Here is a 22,508-nt window from a genome sequence, read left to right as displayed (position 1 = left end):
CTCCTCTCCTTAAAACACGCCGTAGTCACAGCTTTTTGGCCAACTCCTTCCTCGTGTGGCATCAGCTTTGGAGGAGCCCACCTGTGTATTTCATTTGGACCCATGGGTGGCAGATCACATGAACTGGGCTGGACTGATCAGCACATCTGGTCCCCCAGTCCCCAGAGATCAATTGAGGGCACATGAGCAGAGAGGGCCAGAGAGACTCCATTCTGGGTCTTATACTTTTGTCTCTTCCCTTTGTTTCTTGTTTAAAGACACTTTAAGGATCCAAAAGGAGCCTAACTAATACAAATCCTTTAATGCCTTCCCATTGCCTTCAGTATAAAGTCCAAGCCCTTTAAACTGGCCTTGAAGGCCCTTGGTGATCAGACTCTGACTGCTTTCTGCAGTCTCATAGTAGCCACTTGTGCCCCATCAACACCAGATGATTTACAGTTCTTGGATATGCCACAACCTCAACCATGTTTCTGAACTTTTGCCCGTGCTGTTTGCTCTGGGTGGAATGCCTTTGTCTGCTCTGTGCACTTGGCAAACCTTTGCTTTGACCATCATGGCACAGCTAGAGCATTAAAAAAAATCTAATTTGGGAAACAGGATGGAACCACCCATGTGGAACTACCCATGCACCCATGTGGACCCCTTCATTGTAGCACTAAGCTTTATACTTAAGGTTGCTTTCTTGGCTGACTTCCCTACTAGATTGTGAGCTCTTGGAGGATGGGACTCACTGAAGAGGAGGGAGTCCTTTACTTAGCAAACACATACTGAGCATCTACTGTATGCCAGGGACTCATCTTGTTGCTGGGGATACATGGTGAGAAAATACACAAATTTCTGTCTCTTCTAGTAGGAGAAGTGGGCACTGCTTGAGCAAACACACCCAGGGGCAGGGTGCTTTCAGCAGGTGCTGGGCTATGACAGAATAAGACAGGGGCATGCTGGCTTCATGTCTCTGGGCTCAGAGCCCAGAGAAGGGCCAGGCCCAAAACAGGCCCTCAGGAAGTGGCTGTTTAATGAATGATTAAGGAACGTCCCCAGACACCCAGGTGGCCCTCTGCTTTCCTTTATGACTGTTACTCAGGACTCTGCCAGAACCTCTTTGTTAGAGAGTTAGTCCCAGTTTCCAGCCTACACCCCCTCTTGAGGGGGTCATGGTTATATAAATGACATTGGGGTGCATCTGTGCAACACTCACCTTTCCCAGTGAGAGCTGAACAAAGCAACATTCTCTTTGACTTCACAGGGCCGCTCTGTCCCCACCTGGGTCCAGCGTCAGGAAGCCGCTGTGCTCCCCTGCCTGACTTTGATCAAGGCTCTCCCCGCCTCCAGCTTTCTAGCCTTCCCTCTGCCGTCTCCCTTCTAGGCCTATTGCCAGCCCTTTGATCCTCTCTGTGACTCTCCACTGGGCCTTTGTCTGGCTCTATTAAGGCGGTGAAGCGTCACCCTGCTTGGGTCACTCCTGTGCTCAAAGGCCTTCAGTGACTCACCATTACCTGCAGCATCGGGTCCAAACCTACTAGGGCCCCTCTTGATCTGACTTCTGCTTCCTTTGTCAACCTGTTTACCTCAACTCTTCTCCCACATAGTGCTCCCTGCTGCAGAGCCCTCCACACCTCTGGGGCGCCCTTTTTACCCTATGTTTGGTTGTCTCCTGCTGCTGGATCCTAAGCTGCTTGAGAGCAAGTGCATGCCTTGCTCATCCCTGAATCCCCAACATCAAGCCCAAGGCTTTTTTGATTGTGGATGGTCAACAAATATTTCCAGAGGTAGAATACATGCCTGGCATTGCCCCACCTACTTGGGGTTGAAATAACTTGTCTTGGCCCATGGCCTTTGAGGTCCCCATCTCAGGGGCAGGATTTGCAGACTGAGGCCACTTTCTGGATCACAGAGCATAATAATAGCTCTGGCATCCTTGTTTAAATCTTGCACTTGCCTCTTCTGAAGCTTTTTTTTTTTTTTTGTATTTCTCACCCACACACATAACCCCATGAGATCCTTCCATGCTCTCACCCTATCACTATGGCATTATGTCATTGGGATGTTTCTGGTGTAATTTGCTGTGGTCATAATACATTTTTGACCTGTCTAGTGTTGCCTGGAGTTCCTGTCTTCTTCCACCCTCAGTCTTTGTGGTTTGGGTGGGGTTGACTCTATGTCCTACTGCCATGGGTGGGCATTAGATCCATAGCCAGCTAATTAGAGTGCTGGATAGCCACCTGGCCATGGTGATTGGCTCTAGGATGGCAAGTGACACAAGCTAAGCCAATGAGAGTCAGCCCTGGGACTTTAGCTGGAACCAACAGGAAAGAGACCCTTCCTTCCTTCCTTCCTTCCTTCCTTCCTTCCTTCCTTCCTTCCTTCCTTCCTTCCCTCCCTCCCTCCCTCCCTTCTTTTTCTTTCTTTCTTTCTATCTATCTTTCTTTCTTTCTTTCTTTCTTTTTCTTTCTTTCTTTCTTTTCTTTCTTTCTTTCTTTCTTCTTTCTCTCTCTCTCTTTCTTTCTCTCTCTTTCTTTCTCTTTCTTCCTTCCTTCCTTCCTTTCTTTATTTTTTTTGAGACAGAACTGGAGAGCAATGGCACAATCATGGCTCACTGCCGCCTAAAACCTCCTGGGCTCAAGAGATCCTCTGCTTCAGCATCTGCAGTAGCTGGGGCTACAGGCTGGTCTTGAACTCCTGGGCTCAAGTGATCCTCCTGCCTTGACCTCCCAATGTGCTGGGATTACAGGCATGAGCCACAGTGCCTGACCAAAAGGAGGCTGTATGTATGGGATTAGCAGGGCTGGCAGAATGTGGGACTGAGCAGCTGGTGACTGGTTTGCCACCACCTGGGGAGGGCCTGCCCGAGGGTGATGCCAATGCAGAGAAGCACACAGCTGAGCGAAGGGCAGGAGACAAATTCCTGATGACAGTGTGTGAGGGCCCAGGTCCCGGCTCTGCTCATGCACTTTTCAGTTATGTGAGCCAATAAATGCTGCCTTTTTACTTCAGTTGCTCTGAATTAGGTTTCTGTCTCGGCCACCTGGAAGGGACCTGCTGGAATCTGTAACTTTGGAGCTGTGTGTCCCCTCCTTCAGAAAACTTCTTATCAGGCAGGTCCAAATCCTGGGAAGCCCCACCATTTAATATTCTCACATTCAAAGAAGAAGCTGATCTTCCTTTGTCTCTAAGCTGCATCTTGACCTACTACAAGCTGGTCCCCATGGTCACGTTGACTGAAAGAGAGGGAATTCACAATGGTGGTGCTTGCTTAAAGATTTGCCAAAGTCCAAACATCATATCCACAGTTCATATCTCCACACCCCCTCAAAGATGCACATACTTTTGGCCAACAGCTCTGCAATTTCACCTTTGAGTGGCGTCGGCATTCTTGGGCAGGTGCCATCTGTTCCTGGCAATTTGTCTGCATCTAGTTTGTCAACTGGAGTTGGAACATTTGCCTGCAAGAGCAGTGCCTTTGGTGCCCTTACTTCCAAGAGACCATTTGGGAGCAGGGATTTCCCTGGGGTCCTCCTCAGTTGGGACTGGGGCTGTGGCTTCCTCAGATCTTCTCGATATCTCTTTTTCATCTCAGAGCTATGATCATCAAGCATCTTGCCAGTTCTTTATCTGGCCTCTTTCCATTTGATGCATTTGAAAGGCCTCTTATTCTTGGTCCCACAGGCCTTCCCAAGGTGACTTTCAGAGTGTGTTTGGACTGCATAATTTCAAGGCCTCTCTGCCCTGGCTACGCCTCCTGATTCCAAGTCATCAAGTTTTAAATGTTTTCCCAAAGATGCTTTTTTCTTTGCAATAGCCTCTCAGATGTGTCTCCTTAGCTTGTTGTTGTTTTTGCTTAGTTTTGTTTTGGTTCCCACTGTGATGGTCAGACCATGCCAGGCTGTAGTTGGAGGAGGGACCCTGTATGCTAGGTTGGTGAGGCTCATGGAGGCTCCATCGTCTTGTGATGCCATCAGATCACGTGGCTTCTCTGGTAGCAAGAGGGAGCTGTGTGTCACCAAGGTTTCCATGCTGGAAAGTGATCCTTCGGACTATCTTGTTTCTTTCTCCGGTTCTGCCCTTTCCCTTCCACTGCTGCCCTGTGGCCAGGAGGCTGCCCCACATAGACCAATCAACAGGCTCCCTTGGTCTTCAGCTTTCTTGGGTTTTATCAAAGAGGTACTGGCAGGGATTAGAGGCAAGGAAAAGAGCACAATCAGAGTGTCTCTCAGCTGAAGGTGGAGGCTTTTTTGCATTTTGCAGCCGGTGCCTATAACTTCGCAAGATCCTTCCATGCTTTGGCCCCATCATCATGTCATTTTGTCACTGGGATATTTTTGGTGTAATATATTGTGTACATTTCCTGCTTGTACCCTCTCTAGGCTTGGCAGCTGCTCCTCCTTCGCCCCTCAGGTTGGAGGTGCTAATGGCTCCCCACTGACACTGGCCCCCGGGGGCTGAGCCATCCTTGTGGCATCTGTTCACGCTGCCCATGCCTTGATGTAGCTCTCCTCAAATGGGCCAGATAAAGTGGCCCATGCTCCCTGCCAGGGTCTTCGTGGATTCACCAATAGCCACATTTCTGCTCACCATTCATTGGCCAGGCCTAGTGCCTTGGGCCTGCCCGCTGCAGGGGGCTGGGAAGGGTGGTGTCGCTTGTGCTCAGAAGAGGGGTAAGTGGGTATGGTTGTGCTCTGGTCATGTCCACCACAGGCACCAGCTCACGATTCCCAGTCCTCAGTATTGAGCACTTTGGGGCTCCAGGAGGGTCTCACCGAAGGAGTTCTCTTACCTCCTATTATGTACTGTTCTTCAGAGCTCTTTTCCCCGGGGAATGGCAGGAAGGGGCATTGGGTTTGTATCCAGACTTTGCCAGGCCCTCACTGTGTGACTTTGGGCAAGTCAGCTTTCCACTCTGAGCCTAAGTTTCCTCATTTGCAAAGTGGGATGTTGACACTTTCCTTGCAGGCACGTTGCTGGGCTGAGACAGTGTATGCACAGGCCCTGGCGCTGCTGGGAGGCACACAGCTACCAGCAGCTGGAATCAACCATCATGCCCATGTCTGGCAGAGACCAGCACCTTCGTGCTCACTTAACACTGCTCCCTGAGCACGTGCTCTGGGCCAGGCATGTCTCTGAGCTGGAATACTGGGTGAATAAGGCAGAGGAGGGCCCTGCCTAATGGGGAGTTTCTGGTGGGAGTGGACAGGCAATTAACAGATACAATGGCTCCCAACTTACAATGGTTCCACTTATGATTTTTTTGAGTTTGTAGTGGTGTGAAAGCAATACACATTCAGTAGAATCCGTACCTCAGGTACCCATACAACCACTCTGTTTTCCACTTTCAGTACAACATTCAATAAATTACATGATATATCCAACGCTTTATTATAAAGCAGCTTTGTGGTAGTTGACTTTGCACAACTGGGCTAACGTAAGTGTCTGAGCACGTTTAAGGTAGACTAGGTTCAGCAATGATGCTCAGTAGGTTCAGTGTATTAAATGCATTTTCACCTTAAAGTATTTTCAACTTACGATGGGTTTATTGGGACATAAACCCATTGTAAGTCAAGGAGCATCTGTGAATGGAAAGATAATTCAGAGTGGTGAGTGCGCTGCAGAAATAAAGCCAGTTGATATGAGAAAGAAAGACAGGACAGGGATGTCCCAGTATGGCTCCTAGAGGTGACATCTGAGCCTGACCTGAAAAATTGGATGAGGCCCATGCTGAAGATCTGGGGCAGAAAGTGTGGCCTGAAGGATGCTCCCTTGAGCTGGGAGTGAGCTTGGCTTGTTCCCAGGACAGAATGGAGCCCAGGTGGCAGGGAATGTAATGGGAACTGAGTCCCAGGTTGTTTGGGACCTCATCAGCCCTAGTGAGAGGCCTGGATGCTATCAGACTGAGATGGGGGCCATTTGGAGGTTTTAATAAGCAGGTAGAATCTGTCATGAGTCCCTAGTTCAGTTCTTCAGTCCCCAGTTCTAAATTCTCTGACTGCATTTGTCAGCTCAGTTTCCTTAGCGAATTGCCATTTTTGGAGAACCAAGGTCCGCAGTGAAGGATCCAGGCAAGTTCCTTCCTCATTTCTGGGAAAGCTGAGGCCCACAGTCCCTGGGTCAGGCTCTGGTCCTACTGATGAAGACAACAGCCAACCAATCACACCCCAGCTGGTCCTCCCCACCCCCCACCTTCCTGAGAACCCGCTGTGCGCAGGCCCTGCACATTTGCCACGTCCTTTCATCAGCCCACTCTTGGTGAGAGGCTGCCATCGTCATCTCTGTCTGTAGATGAGGAAACTGAGGACCCAGTCTCTCCCGCTCCCTCCTCACCTCAGGACAGCTCCCTCTCGCATGCCGCAGCCCACACGGCATCCTGTAAATAACTGCATGTTCCCAACACCTCTCCTCCTTCTCCTTGGAAACCTGCTCTGTCTTTCCACTTGGGCTGCTGGGTTGTCAGATTCCTCGGCTTGGCTCTGCGCGGAGCGTGGCGGGAGCTCAGATGTTGCATTTGAAAGCCTGGGGCTGGGCTCCAGCTTGGCCATTCACTAGCTGGGTGACTGTAGGCAAGTCACTGCACCTCTCTGAGCCTCAGTTTCCTCATCAGAAGTGCAGGGGTACAAAAACCCATGTCTGTGGTGAAGATTAGATGAGGACTGTACAGAAGTCTCAGCTGAATGTGAGGCACACAGTTGGGTGCTTAACGAAAATGGGTTTACATGAGCTTTATACTACCTCATTTCAGCCACACAACCACCTTATGAGGTAAGTACTATTGTTATGCCCATTTTACAGAGAAGGAGAGAGGCAGAGAGAGGTTAGGAAACTTGCCAAGGTCGCACAACTAGAAGGTGCTATACCAGGGTTGCTTCTAGGCTGTTTAGTCCAAGAATTTGCTCTCTTAACCTATCTGTCCTTCTGGAACCAGGATGTCTGCATGGGAGATGAGGCTCACTCCATGGCTGGATGTAGGATGAGGTGGCACTGAGGGATTATTCTGCACTGTCCATGGTCATCCTGTGTCTCTGTGTGGTTGCTATGGTAGACGCAGGTTGTCCTATTTTCTCTGGTAGCCTTTCTTCCGTATAGCACCTTAATATTACCTTGGGGAACCACTCTTTCCCGTTCTCTGGCCATGTGGTTTGGATGGAATTGAATCTCCTTTCCCTCAAGCTCTAGAGATTGGCATGTAATCCAGGCCTAGGATTTAGGGATGAACATGTGATCCAAGATGGTCCAGTGAGACTCGATCCTGGGGCTCGTCCTGAAAATATTAGAAAACCTCTCTTTCTGTTGGACTTACTGAGCTGGGAAAGCATGAGCCTGAAGCTGCAGGGTCACAGTGTGGAAAGAGCCTGCCGCAAAGGAAAGCCACGCCAGAAGAGGTGCTGATAGACAGAGAGAGGCTGAACCTCGGTCACATTTTTTGAGCTCCTGGATCAAGCCCTTCCTGAAATCCAGAGATCTACCCTTGAACTTATCAGTTACATGAACAAATATAACTCCTTTGGCCTTAAACCATTTACATTTGTTTTTCTATCACTTGCATCTAAAATAGGATTGACTGGCATTGTGCTAAGTAGTTCACATGTGTTATTTCACTTAATCCAGTGGGGTACTGACATTGTGATCATTACGCAGATGAAGGAACTAGGGCTAAAAGAGGTGTCTTATATTGGCTGAGAGGTCACGGCTAGCACATGGTAGAGCTGGGATTAGACTCCACACATTTCGACTCTGGACTGAACCTCGACTGCTCTGCCTTATGGTAGAAGGCAGATGTCACCCCTAAATACTGTGTGTAATGTCTACTCTCCTGCTCTCATCCAGCTGCTCTCCCTGCCGACTGTCATGCCCTTTAATCCCCAGGTCCTCAGGAAAGAAGCCTTGCTGGCTACACCCTCAGACTAAGCTCTGTTTTCTGGTAGACATTTTATGGCCTAATATAATTTTTCTTCTGAGCTCCACTGAACTTCAATAATTATTTGTTCTGGGTTTATCTCTTCTGCTGGGTGGGAGTCCCCCAGAGGCAGAGATGACGTCTGTCTGGCCATTGTTGCAGCCCCGATGCCTTGGCACAGCGCCTGGCCCATGGCGGGTACCTGGTAAATGTTTGTGGAATCAATGGATTGTGTAATTTTTTCGCTCCCACTGTGGCGCTGGATCATGGTACACCTGTTTGACTGCAGTGTTGTATCACTCTGACACTGCAAAATTCACTCTGGCTCTGCTGTCTCGTAGGCTGCTGTGATCTTGGGATGTTTACTTATCTTTGTATACATATTTAGGCTTTTCCTTCTTAACAGTGAGTTCTTTGAAGATGGGGCAGTGTCTCTGACCCCGCATGCCTTGAGTAGTGCTAATAACAGTAGTAATAATAATACAAATAGTACGCTGATAATGAGTGCTCACCACCTGCCAGGCACGGTTCTAAGGCTTTGACATGCATAGCTTCCTTTCATCCTTACATCAATTGTACTGCATGTAGCATTATGACCCCATTACACTGAAGGGCAAACTGAGGCTCAGAAAGGTTGCGTGGACTATTTGCGCCTCCCCAGTTTGAGTTAGGGTTCTGTGTCATGCAATCAAGAGTCCTTGCTTCCCCAGTGACTTTATGGAGGAAACCTAGGCTGGGATGGCAGGCAGCAAGGGTGGCAGGAAGGCTGGGGTCAGCAGGGAGCTTTAAGATTGATCCAGCAAACGAAGGCCTGGCTGTCCCTGGTCAAAAGGAAAAGAGTTCTCACTGTGGAAGATAAAAGGAGAAAAGAGCTGGTCAAAGGAAGGAGGAGCTGTGAGAAGTGGGGGCCTCAGGACAAGGACACATGGGTAGGGGCTCAGGGGTGCTGGGGACAGGGCACCGGGCATGAAGCTGGAGAACCTGGGCTCCTACCCAGCCCCAGCACTTTCTGGCTGTGTGATCTAGAGCAAGGCACTGCGCCTCTCTGAGCCCACTTTCCCAGGCTGATGCCAGGCTTGAGATAACATCTGGGAATTGCTAGCCAGTGCCTGCCATGGAGGAACAGGTACCATGAATGGGGTGCCATGGGCCAGGGGTGCTGTAAGCTCTTCATCTGCATGAACTCAGGGAGCCTCTCAACAGACCTAGAAAGTGGGCATTGCAGCAATCGCACTCCACAGAGGGGGAAGCTGGGGAGGGAAGTGCAGCCGCTTGCTCAAGGCCCTCAGTCGTCAGAGGCCCCTGAGATCTGTGCTCTGGCCGTGTGGTTCCAGAACCGCCCTTTCCTATTGCATCACAAGAAGGGCTTGAATTTGGATGTCCATGAGAGAAGGGGCCGGTGCAGACAGTTGCTGACTTTGTACCGTCTCCTCTTATGGGTTCAAGTTGCTATTTTCATAATTTTACCTCCGAGAGACTCTGCCCCTTGTCCCCAGCATATCTCAGGGCACAATAGACAGATATTTGCCAGCAAGCCTGTGGGAGCCTGTGCTGGAACTGGGGCCCAGAGACAAATAAGACCTGGTACCCAGCTCTTTCAGCAGGTGACAGGGTGGGACTGAGGCCTGGAGCTCCTGACAGCCTCTGTACAACCCTGAAAGACAAGAGGCCGGGCAGCTCTCGGAGGAGGGGCGCTGGGGCCAGTTTCTCAGGGGTCCTCACAGCTGTTTCCAGGGGCACCGTGTGAGGCTGTTGCCAGGGCTGGCCCAGAATTGAGGAGCCAGTGTGTCCCCGGCTTGACTGGTGGAGTAGCACCTCTATGGTATTTGCCACGTCTCCAAACCACCTATGCTATTTACTTAACATTTCTCTCATTTCATTCACTTGCAAAAATAAAACGCTTTGGTGCATTTATTTAAAAAAGAAACCTCACATGGGCACTTTAAACCAGAAAACTAGTATCACTTGTTATTAACAGAAGGTAACAATGCACATAAATGCAGTGAAAAGGAAACCCGTGTACTGTCTTGCCCCACGCTGTTGGGCCTGGGCCCTCAGTCTGAGGCTAGCCCTCTGGTCATGGACAGGGAGGGGGCTAACATTAGAGACTGCTGAGGACGTACTGAGACTTCCTCACAGACATGACTGGAGTGTTGAAAGATTCCTCAGTATATGACTTGCTATCGAGAGTGGTACCCACAGAACCACCTACAGTCACGGAGATGCCAATGCTTCCCTGGGTTTGGAAAACACCGCGAGACACCTTCACCTGCCCGCCCTGCTTTCTCTGGGGTCAGCCCTACTTCCCATCCCACCTAGCTGGTCCTTGGCCTCAGCTCTTCCAGTACCAGGGAGGCAAAGGACTTTTCTGCATGGTTGCTGGATGCACAAGACCCCAGGTTGAACCTGCGTTACTTGTAGCCAAATGGGAAGAAGACACTTTGTCTCTCTGATCCTCAGTTTCCCTATCCAGAAAAAGGCAACAGCAATCCCCATTTCCGGGGCTGTTCGGAAGATTAAATGAGATGCAGTGTGTGAATGTACGTGCCTTTGCATGGTGCCTGGCACAGAAAGCAAGAACTCTAGCTGTTTGGTGCTGATCTGGTCAAACCGAGAAACTGTTTGAAGCCACCTCTGCCGCAATTCCATTTTCTCTTTTGCAGGCTCTTTCTTTCTACCAAGACAGTTCAACAGCTATGGGCTCAAATCTTCTCTCCTCCATCCCTCCAGAGGCAGGTCAACTCTCAAAACCTCCGTTTGCTCATTGTTAAAATGGGAATAATAGAATCCCCTCAACAAGTTACTGTTTAGGCAAGAAAATACTTTGTCATTGGTAAAGTTTCGTATTCCTGTGAGGACTTATTTTTATTATTCGTAACCACCTGGGGTTGGAAGGCTATCAGAGTGTTCCTGGAGTTGGACTGCCTACCCTCAGGGGAAATTATCTGAGTTTGAGCCCACACGAAAGACTTCCTGAGTTCCTGACAGGCTGTGCGCTGAGGTTTCTGTCATTGAGGGGAATATTGTGGGCTCCAGCTGGGGCAGCTTCTGTTTTTAGCTGGAATCATTGCTGTTCAGCCCCCTGTGTAGAAAAAAGAAACACGGTGCAGAAATAGCCCGTCCCAGGGGCTGCCCAAGAGAAGGGCTTATTTTGACTCAGGATGCTGCAGAAGCTGTGGCAGGCTTGTCAAAATACATCTGCCTCTTCTTGAGCGGCCCACGGATCCTCACACTCAAGCCAGGACCAAAGCACGGCTGCCAGATGCACACATCTGGAACCTAGTCCCTGGGAGCTGAGGACAGCCCCGGCGTTGATTCCAGCAATAACCACCTCCTAAACCCTGGAGGGCAAAAAGCAGATATCCTGTGCCAGTGGCACAAAGAAGCCTACCTTGGTCTTGAGACTCATTCATCTTGGTGGCCCCCATGGCTGGCATAAGGCCTAGTAGGGCCTGGAGTGTGGATGAGGGAGCTTCCGCAGCCATTCCTCTGTGGGCCTTGCAGAGGACCCCACAGTGGAAGTTATTACGCCCATTTCACAGGTGGGAAAGCTGAGGTCTGGGCCATGAAGTGACTTCTTGTGGGGGAAATCTCCCTCCAGTCACGTGTTTCTTCTCCACACCCTTTTCAGCACCTCAAGCTGCACGTGCCTCTGCCTGGGATGCCCTTTCTCCTTGTGTGACTGTTTATGACCCAGGACACATGGCACCTGCCCTGGGCAGTCAGCCCCAGCCTCACTGGGCCTTTGTGCAGGCTTCACCGTGGCCCTTCAACCTGGCCCCAACTGGACCTGACAGCTGTTTACTGGAGGAATGAATGAATGGTGCTGGTGTGTTTCATTAAGGGGCTCCCCAGCTCAAACCAAAGGGGGCCACCTTTCAACCTGAGGGTACCTTTGAAGAGACAAGAAAGTGGGCTTTGTCTCTAGTGTGGTACAGCCACCTGTCCACAGGCTCCTCACACGCAAGATGCCCTGAGCCACACTTATTTATCTCCCACCAGAACCACCTCAGGCAGCGGCTCTACCATCTCTGTGGTTCCTTAAGCTCAAATCCCTGGTCTGCTTGGATGCCAAATCTGGACTACTCACCCCCTGAGATCTCGTCTCTCTGCCCCTACCACCTCCCTCCTGCCTCTGGTTCCTCAGGCCTTCCCAGCCCCACTCTGCACCACACACAGCCTCCTAGTTGTGTCTCTGCCTCAGCCTGGCTCCCTCAGCCCCTTCGTCACTCCCAGCCCTCACCTGGTTCCGACTCAGTGAGCCCAGCTCTGAACACATCGCTCTGCCCCTGCTCAGCAATTCACCCCTTTCTATGGTGGCATTTTTCAAAGTGGATCTTGCAGATATTAGTGGGGGTTCTGGGGATGAGGGTGCCCTCGGTCAAATGAGTGGGGATTGCTGGGCTAAATGGAATCAGACAGACTTCCCCTGCAGGACTTCTCAGGGCCTTTGCTGTGCTCCTGTGGATGATGATTTTCCGAGAGGTGAAGCAGCATGTGGCATTTCTAGAACTTATTTGATCATGCACCTTTTGATGTGGAACATCAAGGGGGTGTTCCGAGGAAGTGCAGGTGTGTTGGCCAGAGTCTAGACTAGACCTTGACCTTAGTGGTCAGGGTCCTTCCCAGTGCGGCTCTAGTCTGCTCTGGCCAGCCGAAAGGAACCTCTGGAGGCTCCCTGCGCCTGTGCAGCTTTCCTGCCTCTGTCTCCCGCCCACTCATCCTCCTGCCAGACTTGCGTTTTCCATACAGCCAGCCCTTCCTTTTCTTCAAGGCACGGCCCAAATACCACCCCCTTGCTGGGCCCTGCATGGGTGACCTCAGACCCCAGGGCCCCATATCTGGCTGATGCTAGATCATCCTGAATGTGACGTTGTTACAGGGAAATCTTTGAATCAACCCTAATTTGCTTAAAAAAAAAAAACAAAAAAACTGTCACTTGCAAACTCCAGTATTTTGATCAGCATCAACAGCAGGTTCCTCACTCGGCCTGCGCCATTGCCCTCATGTGCCTTGATGCCGTGGTGTGGCCCGCTGCACAGACCACACATTCCCAAGGATGACTTCTGTGTATGTGGCTCCTTTGGAGCACAGGGAGCCCCTGATTCAGTGGGAAACAGATGGTACCCAAAACCACACTTCTCATGCTCAGAGTCACACGGTCGTTCCCCCAAAGGGACAATTCCATTAATATTTGAGGAAGGGACTCATGTTTGCTGAGAGCCCACCTGGTGAGAGGCCACATGCCATGACCCCAATGGCTGGAGCAAGGCAAGGAAGGTGCTTCCAAGGGGAGATGGAGCCAGGGTGGGGTCCAGGGCCCTGTTGGAGCTCACGCAGCAGGGGAGCTATAACACCGAGAGGCTCAGGTGAGTCCAGCTCCAAAGCCCGGCTTCTCCCATGATGACCCCAACGAGGACCTGCGGCAGAGGGCTTCTCTCCAGGAGCCTCTCCTCTTCTCTCCCTGAGAAGGCTCCCCCAGCCAGTGTGGTCCCCTGTCCAGCGTGGTAGCACCCCCTTGTGCAGGGAGAGTCTCTGCTTATGTGCTATCTCCCCAGCCATGCTGGGAGCCCCTCAAGGTCAAGTCTTTGTGCCTCTAACATCCAGTGTGGGGTTCGGCTGCATGCATGAGGTCCTGTGTATGAGATGAGGGGTCCATGTTTCTTGGCCTAAGGAAGATTCTGGTTCTTTGTGACATCAGTCCCAGGAAAGTATACACGGACGTCCAGTGTTGCGAAACTCACCATCAGGTGTCCCTTTGGAATCAGAGAGCACACTACCCTGTCCTCACCCAAGGGTAGCCGGACATCCCTTTGAGCTGCTGGCTGGTGACAATGGACAGGTCAGTGCCACCCAAACAAGCAAACTGACTGTTTTGTGCTCTGTTTCCACCTGTGAAGTGTGGACATCGGTCCTGCACACACGGCAGCACTGGCTGGTGTTAAAAACACACACCAGCACAGCCTCCCACAGCAGAGGAGGGATCCTGAGAAGTGTAAGTTAGATCACGACACACCTCTGTTTGAAAGTCTCCATTGGCTTAGAAGAAACCAGCACAGGTAGAATGCAATCCAGTCACTCTCTGGGCCTCTGAAGCCCATGCAAACTGAGCCGTCTCCTCTATGCCCTCCTTTCCTTCTGCTCTCCCCGGCTCACTCTGCTTCAGCCACACGGACTCCCTGCCTTCCCCGGGTTGCCAAGCTTGTTCCTGCCTCAGGACCTTTGCACATGCTCTCTGCTGCCTGAAACATGCTCATCTTTGCCTGGCAGGCTCCTTCTTGGTATTCACATTCTGGCTTGAATGTCCCTTCCCCAAAGCAACCCCTCTGATTGCTATATTTAAAACAGGACCTCACTTCCTATTGCACTACTCTATTTAATGGTTTTTGTAGTACTTGCCACTGTCTGGAATTATCTTTATTCATTTAAATGTGTTTATTGCATCTCCTCAACTAGAATGACTTTTCTCTAGGAGTAGGACCCTCACCCACCCTTCCTGTGGCTCTGTCCCAGCACCTGAAATAGCCCCTGAGTCCTCTGAGTCTTACTCTGCCCATGCCTCCCTCGTGCCCTCTCCTTCAGTCACACTGAACAACACCTTGCAATTGCCAGAAGACACCCTGTTCTCCCTTGCCTGTGTTGCACTTGCTTCTCCCTTTCTTGGAATGCCTTGTCCTCCTCCTGTCCCCTGGTTGACTTGTACTCCTACACAAAACTCAGCTCAGCATCGCTTGGTCCAGGGATGCTTCCTGACCCCCTTGGGTAGATGGGCCCCTCTGCAGCAGTCTGTCCCTCCTTTTTGGGGCCTTTCATCATGCCTCAGCCTTTGTACATGCTGGGGACACTCCTTCCTCTCCCCTACCAATGGCTGTGTCTGGCTTCCCTGCCCCCCGCCCCCCTCAGATCTCCTTATAGGTATGATGGGCTCTGGGGAGACTTCTAGGAGTTTCCTGGCTGGACAGACTATCTCCCATCTCCTGCAGTGTCTCTTTGCTGCCAGCCTGGGGCTGTTGAGGCAGGGCTGTGTCTAAACATCTCTTTGGCCCCAGGGCCTGGCACAAAGCAAGCATCACAGATTGTTTGTTGAATGAATAGCAGTGACCATTAGCCCTGTGATGAAGCTGTTAGGTGAGAGACTTGGAACAGCACTGTCAGCATCAGAGGCCATAAAACTCGCCGGCAGCTGAGAAAGCTTGAACCTCACGGGGGGACTGACAGACATGTGGATTGGAGGAGAGGGGCTGGGGGTCCCAGGCAGTGTCTCTTGGTGCCTCTGCCATGGTGGCTGCCTGACTAGCAGAATCGGGGAAGCCAGGGTTAACTCTGTTGTGACTGGCACCATGTAGTGGAGCCTGTGTGTGGTCTGGGCAGGTTCTGCAGCCGCCTTCTCATGCCCCCTGCAGGAGTTGTTGAGTCTGCAGCTAAGCAGGACCTCCCGTTCTCTCTAATCCTGCCCTGGGCTGAGTTGAGGGCAGTAAGATGCCCATCTGAGGCTCAGGCAAGGTTCCTGGAGTATGTGTAACTCTGATGGAAGAGCGCTGGACTTGATGTCCTACAGACCCAGCTTCAAATCCTAGCTTTAGCGGCGGCTCTGAGTGGGCCACGCATGCTGTGAGCGAAGGCACGTCGTGATGGACTAGGAGCCTGTCTGAGTTGCTCTGGGGATGCTGATGGCCCTGAGGTTGTAGATGCAACCTGTGTCGGGGGTGAGACCTCGGACCCAGCCCCTGCTTCTCAGATTGCCTTGGATCCTGAAGGGCTCCAAGAGGGGGCCTCATTTGCAAAGTTTTCCAGGCATGGGCGCCGCTCGCACTCCCCCACGCGGCTCCTCCAACTCAACCTGGTCTGTGCTGCCAGAAGAATCTTCTTAAAATACTCCTCGCCTCACAGCACTCCCCTGCTCAGAAACTTCCTGCGGTGGCCTCACGTCGCCTGGGACGAGGCCCCTAAAGCCCTCCTTGGCCCCACGCCTCTTTATTTACACACCCAGACTCCAGGCGGGGGTCTCCCTTTTGCTTCCTTGGTGCCACCACCTTGTTGATTCATCTCAACGCCTCCTAAATAGGAGAAGTAGCCTCCCTGCACTACATATGAGGAGGCCGAGGTTCAGAGAGCTTGATCAACGTGCCCAAGGTTGCCCAGCTTGGTCTAACTGCCCCTGGAAACTTTCAGGGCCCCTGAGCTTGGCTAGGCCTGCAGGATGGAGTTAGCCTTGCTGCTTTGACTTCCAGCTGTCAGGCAGCAAATCACACTCCAGCAGCCCGGGAGGGATTCAGTGCAAAAGCAAACTTTTCAGACAGAGAAGACAGAAGTCCAGCTTACAGGCATGGGGGAGTGGCATTGAGTTGGGGGGCTGAGGCAGCAAAGGCTCCTAGAACAGTTGGGGAAGAGAAATCAGGCAGGCCAGGGTCAAATCCCAGTTCTGCCACCTGCTAGCTCGGACAACTTGAGCAAGCCTCTTTGTCCCTCTGAGTCTGGGTGTAGTCATGGATTTGCTGTGGTATACAGTAGTGTTCAATAAATGCCCAGTATCTGGGGATGGTATGCAGTTGGTGTTCAATAAATGTCCAGCATCCCAAAAAATCTTTATCTTTCAACCTAGAAGATTCCTCAGAGACCATTAAATCCACCCTGTTTTCATTTTACAGATGAGGAAATTGAGCCTCAGGGGATGGAAGTGACCTGCCCAAGGTCATACAGGCAGAGGGAGGTGGAGAGAGCTAGAGTCTAGGTCCTCTGACTCTCCACGCAGCCCTCTTGACTCTTCATCCTACTGCGGGGCTGACCACAGGTGCCCTTGAGCCCTGGGAACCTACAGGGCAGGGAGAACTGATCTGCCATGCCTGTCCTGTGGAGTCACAGACCAGGAATCAGGGGGTGCAGAATGGCTAGTGCTGGGCCTCACCCCCACCCTTGGGGAGGACTTGGCCAGGCAGGGGGGTGCGGGTGTGTGTGTTTGTGTGTGTGCATGGCCAGAAGTGGAGACCTGCCAGCCAAGCCTCAAAATGAAGGAAGGAAAAGGCCACAGGTGCGGTGTGGGCAGGAGGGTCAGACCTTAGTGCCCTCACTAAGGTCTCGCCCTGATTGATTTCAGGAGGTGAGGGGACAGGCCATCTGCATCTTTCAGATTGCTGGGGATGAAGCCAGAGGGGTGGAAGCCAGGAGGAACACAAATGACTCCCCTTTCCTGGGACCCAGGCCCACCCATCCTGGGTTTCCCTCAAAGTCCTGGGATTCTAGGAGAAAACTTTGCCCTTAGCAGCCCAAAGGCCTGGGTGTAAGTTCTGCCTCTGTTATCTGACAGCCACGTGACCTTGGGCACATCACTCATCCATTTATCCCACAAATATCCCTCGGGCTCTTTCTCTGTGCCAGGCAGTGTGCCAGGCCCGTGGAACCAGCACCAATGAGTCCCCGCCCTTAAGAGACTCACAGTCCAGTAGGAGCAAAGATACTACCTAAGCATGCAAAGACAAGATAATTTCAGGCAATGCTCTGAAGAAAATATGAAGAAAATAACACACAGTGACGCAGATGGGGGCAGTTACTCTAGGGGGAGTGGCCCTCATGAGGGGGAGTGACCTTTGCCTGATGGGATAATCTGCCAAGGAGAGCAAAAGCAGGTGCAAAGGGCCTGTGGCAGGAAAGAGCCTGGTGGTGCTTTGGAGCAATAGACCAAAGGCCATGTGGCTGCAGTGTGGGAGCAGGGGCAGAGTTGAGGAAATGAGGCCGGAGAGGCCGCAGGAGCCAGGTGATGTGGGGCCTTGCGGGTCCCAGAGTGGGCTGTGGGTTTTAGTCCAAGAATAGTGGATCCTTGTAGGGTTGTAAGTACAGGAGGGACATGTGTGATTCCCTTTTAAGGAGCTTTCTGGTTTGGAAAAGGTGTCTGCTGTTGACTCCCACACAGAGTGGTTGTGAAGAGAAAATGAGAAAACATACAGGAGAGTGATCTGTTGGCCACAGAAGCTGCAGGCAAGTGCTTCCATGGGCACGGAAGGCTCTCTTGGGTCACCATCTGGGCCTGCCTGGGGCTTCCCCTTCTAAGAACTGGTCCTTGTTAGGGAATGTTCTGGGCAGAGGGGCAGCCAAAAGCTCACAGAGCCTCTGTTCTGTAGCTATTCTGGTGTCTTCCATCCACCCTAGAGGCTCCTGCATTGAAATGTGCTTTCCAGAAATACAATCCAGCCCTCGACAAAGACTCATCTTCCCAGCCCTTGGAGTTTACAAACGTGCTGTTTGGTCGTCCTCACAATGTCCTACATCATCTGGTCCCTTCCTCCCCCTGCAAAGGCACTTTTTAAATCCACGCCCTGCTTTTAAAAACTCATTCACGTTATTTCCACTTCACAGGATCCCTCTGTTCGTGGAGTTGCAGCAAGCTCCGCCAGCCTCCGGCCCTTCGCACTTGCTGCTCCCTCGGCCCCATGGCTGTTCTCTCTGTTCTTCATATGGCTGGTGGTTTCTTTTTCAGGTGGCCAGACAAATTCAGGCTGCCTCCCAAGAGAGACCCTCTCTGACTTTGCTTATACAACAAGCCACCCTCCTTGTCACAGCTGACAATCTCTGTTTTATTTTTTCCATCTGTCCCCTTGTTGACTGTCTGTCTTCTCCCACCAGACAGAAGCCTCAAGAGAGCAGGCTCTTGTCTGTCCCTATTGGCCCCTCTAACCGCAGTGCCTGGTACACAGTAGCAGCTCAGTAAAGGTTTGTTGAATGAATGCGTGACCAATTCTGTGTGGTAGGCACTGATTTTCCTGATGAAGAAACAGAAACTTCTTGCCTTTCTGGGTGCCTCCATTTCTGGGAATGAGCCCCTGTCTCCATCCCGCTGCTAACATTCAAAACTGCCAGGCAGCCTCTGGCTGTTCCTCTTGGCGTGTTCCTTGGCCTCTGGCTGGGCATTGGTGATTCCCACCTGGGCAGTGCCTTCCATCCTCAAGATGGTCCCTAGATAGCATTGCACAGAAACCCCACCCCTTTTAATGAAGATCACTAACCTTGTCCTATAGGTGAGGTGATGCTGGGGTGGGCTCAAGGGTCATTTCTGGGTAGGCACACAGGTCTTCTGCCCTCAAATCTGCCCCACATGGGCAAGGCCCCAAATGAGGAGGCAGTGAATCAGAGAACACTGTGTAGGGGGTGAAAGGAGGTCTCAGAGGTGGGGCTGGGACCTGCCCAGAGCTCTGTGCTCCTGGGAACCCTCCCTACAGCTGGCTTGCCCAGCCACCTGGCCCGGGGCTATAGCAGGTAACAACGACCTTCTCTCCTGAGGCTTTCCCCTCAGTTGGAGGAACCCAGGTGAGAGGAGCCAGCACCTAATTTTGAAGGCACCCACTTGGCTCACAGCCTGGCTCACATGGAGCGAGACCCTGGGCCTGACCCCAGGCCCTGCCTGCTCCCTCACTCACCCTTTGCTGGTGAGGAGTGGCCTCCCCGACCCAAGGCTTTCTCAGCCCTTTAGGTGATGGTAGGGATTGGATTTCCCTTGTTCAGGGGCCCCATCAGCAGGGGAGATCCTGCGTTCATTTACAAAGATGTGAGCAGGAAGGAGGCCACGAGTGTGCCTTGGTGAGTATGTGTGTGCGTGACTGTGAGCATGTGTTGTGTGCAACATGACATAGTAAGCATGCACACATGTGTGCCTGGTGTATGCGTGCCTAGGCATGCACAGCGCTGTGTGTGTGTGTTGGGGGGACATTCACACAGTAAGCACATGCAGGTGTGTGCATGCGTGAGACCACAGTGTGTGTGCCTTGGGAGCCAGTGTTTACAGCTTGGGGCTTTCTGGCTACTGCTTTGAGGCCCCATCAAAGGCTTGTGGGGAAGGCAGAGCTCGAGAGAGGGGCTGGAGGAGGCTGTGAGCCAGGCCAGCCTGTTGTCTGACTAGCTGACCCCGTCTGGCTGCCTCAGAGACTGGCTCTGGACCCTGGGTGGCTGCTGCTGTCTGCCTGACCGACTGGCCCTCCCCTACCCGCTGACCCTGACTGGCTGGCTGACTCATCTCGCTGGTAACCTCCTTCACTGGCAAGCCTGCTGTAATCCTAGCTCAGCCTGGGGGGATGAGCTGTTTAAAGCTATGGCTGCTGATTCCCAAGGATGAGGTAGGGAGAGGGGTCTCTAGACTCACAGTTGCGCCAGGGCCTAGAGGGGAAACTTGGTGGGATGTTCTCTTCAGAGCATGGGTGCCGGCCCTCACCTCTAGGGCCCCTGGTCTTTCTTTCCTCAGTTTCTCCCTCTGTGAAATGGTTGTCACGAGTTGGGTGTTTAGCCAAAGAGTCTAAGAAGGGCAGGGTTGGCAGATGCCAGGGCTCAGGAGAGGCTGCCTAATACCCAGAGGCGCAGGCCTGTGCTGGGGCCACCGAGCAGCTGTCCTGCAAGTGCAGGTGGGTGAGAAGGGCCTCAGAGGTAGAGGGCCTGGCTGGGGCCAGGGGAGGAGGATTAGGGGAACCCTGGAGTGCAGGCCCCATGGCCGTCCTTCCACGGGGTGCTGGACTCTGCAGAGATGGTGATGTGGGTCACCACGGTACCATGTGTCTTCCCAGTGAACTCGAGGAGGAAGGCACAATCAGGAAGCGGGGCCGTTTGCTAAAGGAGCTGAGAGCTGGGATCATCAGGGAAGAGTGTGGGGTTTGCAGTCAGGCTTCACCCTGATCTCTGTAACCTTGAGCAGGTCATGCCTACTCCCCTGGTTTCCTTTTCTTTAGGAGGAGATAATAATAGCATCTTTGCTGTATGATTAGAGCACTGGTTCACTCACAGGGACATGTAAAATGTCTAGTACACAGTAGGTGCTCAGTAAGTGTCAATAGTGGGAGTCATTGAGGAAATGATTACCACCTGCTGTTTTCGGTTGAAATGTGGCCTTATGGCCCCCATCCTGCTGGCACCCACAGCTCTGGGCAGCCTGCTGTGCCACTGCTTTGCTGTCTCCTCCTCTGGGCTCCCACCATACCAGCAGTGTGTCCTCCTTCATGGCCCTCCATGCTGGACAGTCATTATCTGCTTAGATCTCTGTCTTCGCTGCAATTCTTAGCCCCTGGAAGGGAGGGCCTATGGGAGGAATGCTTGTGGCTGATTGAATGGTGTCTGTCTGTCTGCTGCATTGAGCAGCGAGTGCTAGGAGAGTGGGGTCCAAGAAAAGGTAATCAACATCTATTCAGTTCTTATTGGATGTTTACACTTTATCTCATTTCTTACTAAAACCTTACAAGGTGAGTATCATACCCTCATTTTGCCGAGAAATTTGAGGCTTATAGAAAAGAAGACTTGTCCAAGGTCACTCCCACCCAGGCAGGAGGAGAGCTGGGATTCCCATTCAGTCTCTGCTTCTAACCACTGTGCCAATCTGATCTAAGGCAAAGAAGGGAGACATGGCCCTCCTACACATCTGAGAGCCACTTGAGAGGATGCCTCTGTGTGAGAGGCACTCATGTGTCCCTGCTGGTAAGGGACCTTGATCCTCTGAGCCTGCAGTGTGGAAGAGACTTGGGGGGTCCCTGGAATCTAGGTCTCAGACATAGGGTTCTTGCTAGCAGCAGGAGTGCATGTTTTAGGGTAGTTGAGGAGTGGGGCAGGTGTACCCCACGTTCCCTGCTCTGGTTGCCTCTATTCTAGCTTCAGGCTGTTTCTGATGTGCACTTCTCCTGTGTGTAATGTCCTCTTCACAAGCGTGACTCCCAGGTGCACCTTTGTGCTTTGTTGTGTGCTGGTGCCCACGTAAGCCTGTGTGTGCACCTGCTGGGAGCTTGCACAAACTGCCCTTCTGTGTGGGCATGAGTTCTGACTATGCATCTGAGTGTCTGTCTCCGTGTTGGGTTTGCAGGTTTTGGGGGGATGTATGTGGTGGTGTGGGGAACTGGAGTGGGCTGAGATGTATGCTGAGAAGCTCACCAGAGGGTATGTATGGGAACTGGAGCCTCCAGCAATCACTGTCTTAGACTCACCTCAAGGTCTCTGTGTCTTGGATTGAAGCATGAAGGTCAATGCTTTCCTTGTTTCTACCTTAAAACATTCCTGGCACAGCCCTTCATAGTTAGAGAGTTCTCAGTTCAAATCTCAGTTTCCCCAACTGTGGTGTGGGAGGCTGGTGAATTACCCACTTTCCTGGGCCCTGGTTTCCTCTGTGAGATGAGGATAGTCAGGCTGCTGTGTGGCTTGCAGAGGACACCTGTGTGCCCAGCACAGAGGAAGCTCTTTGAGCTGAGCATGCTATAAAAAAAAGTCTTGTCACACCATGTGCTGGCCCACTCGCTTTCCCACATGTGTGCAAACAGGGGATGTTTCCTTGACATTTTTGCAAGACAGTCTTCTTGCTTCCTCTCCATGCCTGCCCTTTTCCCTGGCACCAGCCTAATACAGAAGAGGTGAGACCCTGTCAATCCTGCAAAGAACTTCATGCCTTTGCATTAGGAAAACAGTGCTTGAGTGGGCTTTCTCTATTTTGCCCTGAGAGGGATGGTGCTGATTTTTCGTCCTCCATGAAAGGAAGACTTGACATTGAGTTCTTAAGTGAAAGAAGGAGGCATCTACTGTTTTAAAATGAATGGGATACACCGACTTTTAGAAGCCATAGGCTTGAAAATCTAAGTTGTGACTTTGTTTTGCCTTCTTTTGGCCTTCTCAG

At 51.8% G+C, this 22,508-nt stretch overlaps 1 protein-coding gene across 5 annotated transcripts in view, besides 2 other annotated features; it reads right to left on the bottom strand.

Annotated features, from left to right (window-relative positions):
- Positions 1-22,508, bottom strand: part of CPLX2 (complexin 2) — an 87,489-nt gene that overhangs the window by 21,060 nt on the left and 43,921 nt on the right. For 2 of the 5 annotated variants that reach the window (XM_047416651.1, XM_005265798.2), the window contains exon 1: positions 1,199-1,285. The exons of the other annotated variants lie outside the window; for them this stretch is intronic. The gene's annotated coding sequence lies outside the window, so the exon portion shown is untranslated. Of the gene's footprint in view, positions 1-1,198; positions 1,286-22,508 lie in introns of those variants that run through there. 5 annotated transcript variants of the gene reach the window in all.
- Positions 1,128-1,629: an enhancer, noted in NCBI's record as "NANOG hESC enhancer chr5:175288336-175288837 (GRCh37/hg19 assembly coordinates)". NCBI's record gives its function as "activates a minimal SCP1, AML or CMV promoter by ChIP-STARR-seq in naive H9 embryonic stem cells {active_cell/tissue: H9 hESC(naive)}" and the evidence as "EXISTENCE:reporter gene assay evidence [ECO:0000049][PMID:30033119]".
- Positions 15,577-16,146: an enhancer, noted in NCBI's record as "H3K4me1 hESC enhancer chr5:175273819-175274388 (GRCh37/hg19 assembly coordinates)". NCBI's record gives its function as "activates a minimal SCP1, AML or CMV promoter by ChIP-STARR-seq in primed H9 embryonic stem cells {active_cell/tissue: H9 hESC(primed)}" and the evidence as "EXISTENCE:reporter gene assay evidence [ECO:0000049][PMID:30033119]".

This window comes from Homo sapiens, chromosome 5 (genome assembly GCF_000001405.40).
Source record: "Homo sapiens chromosome 5, GRCh38.p14 Primary Assembly".
Classification (NCBI taxonomy): Eukaryota; Metazoa; Chordata; class Mammalia; order Primates; family Hominidae; genus Homo; species Homo sapiens.
This window is presented reverse-complemented; position numbering and strand designations above follow the sequence as displayed.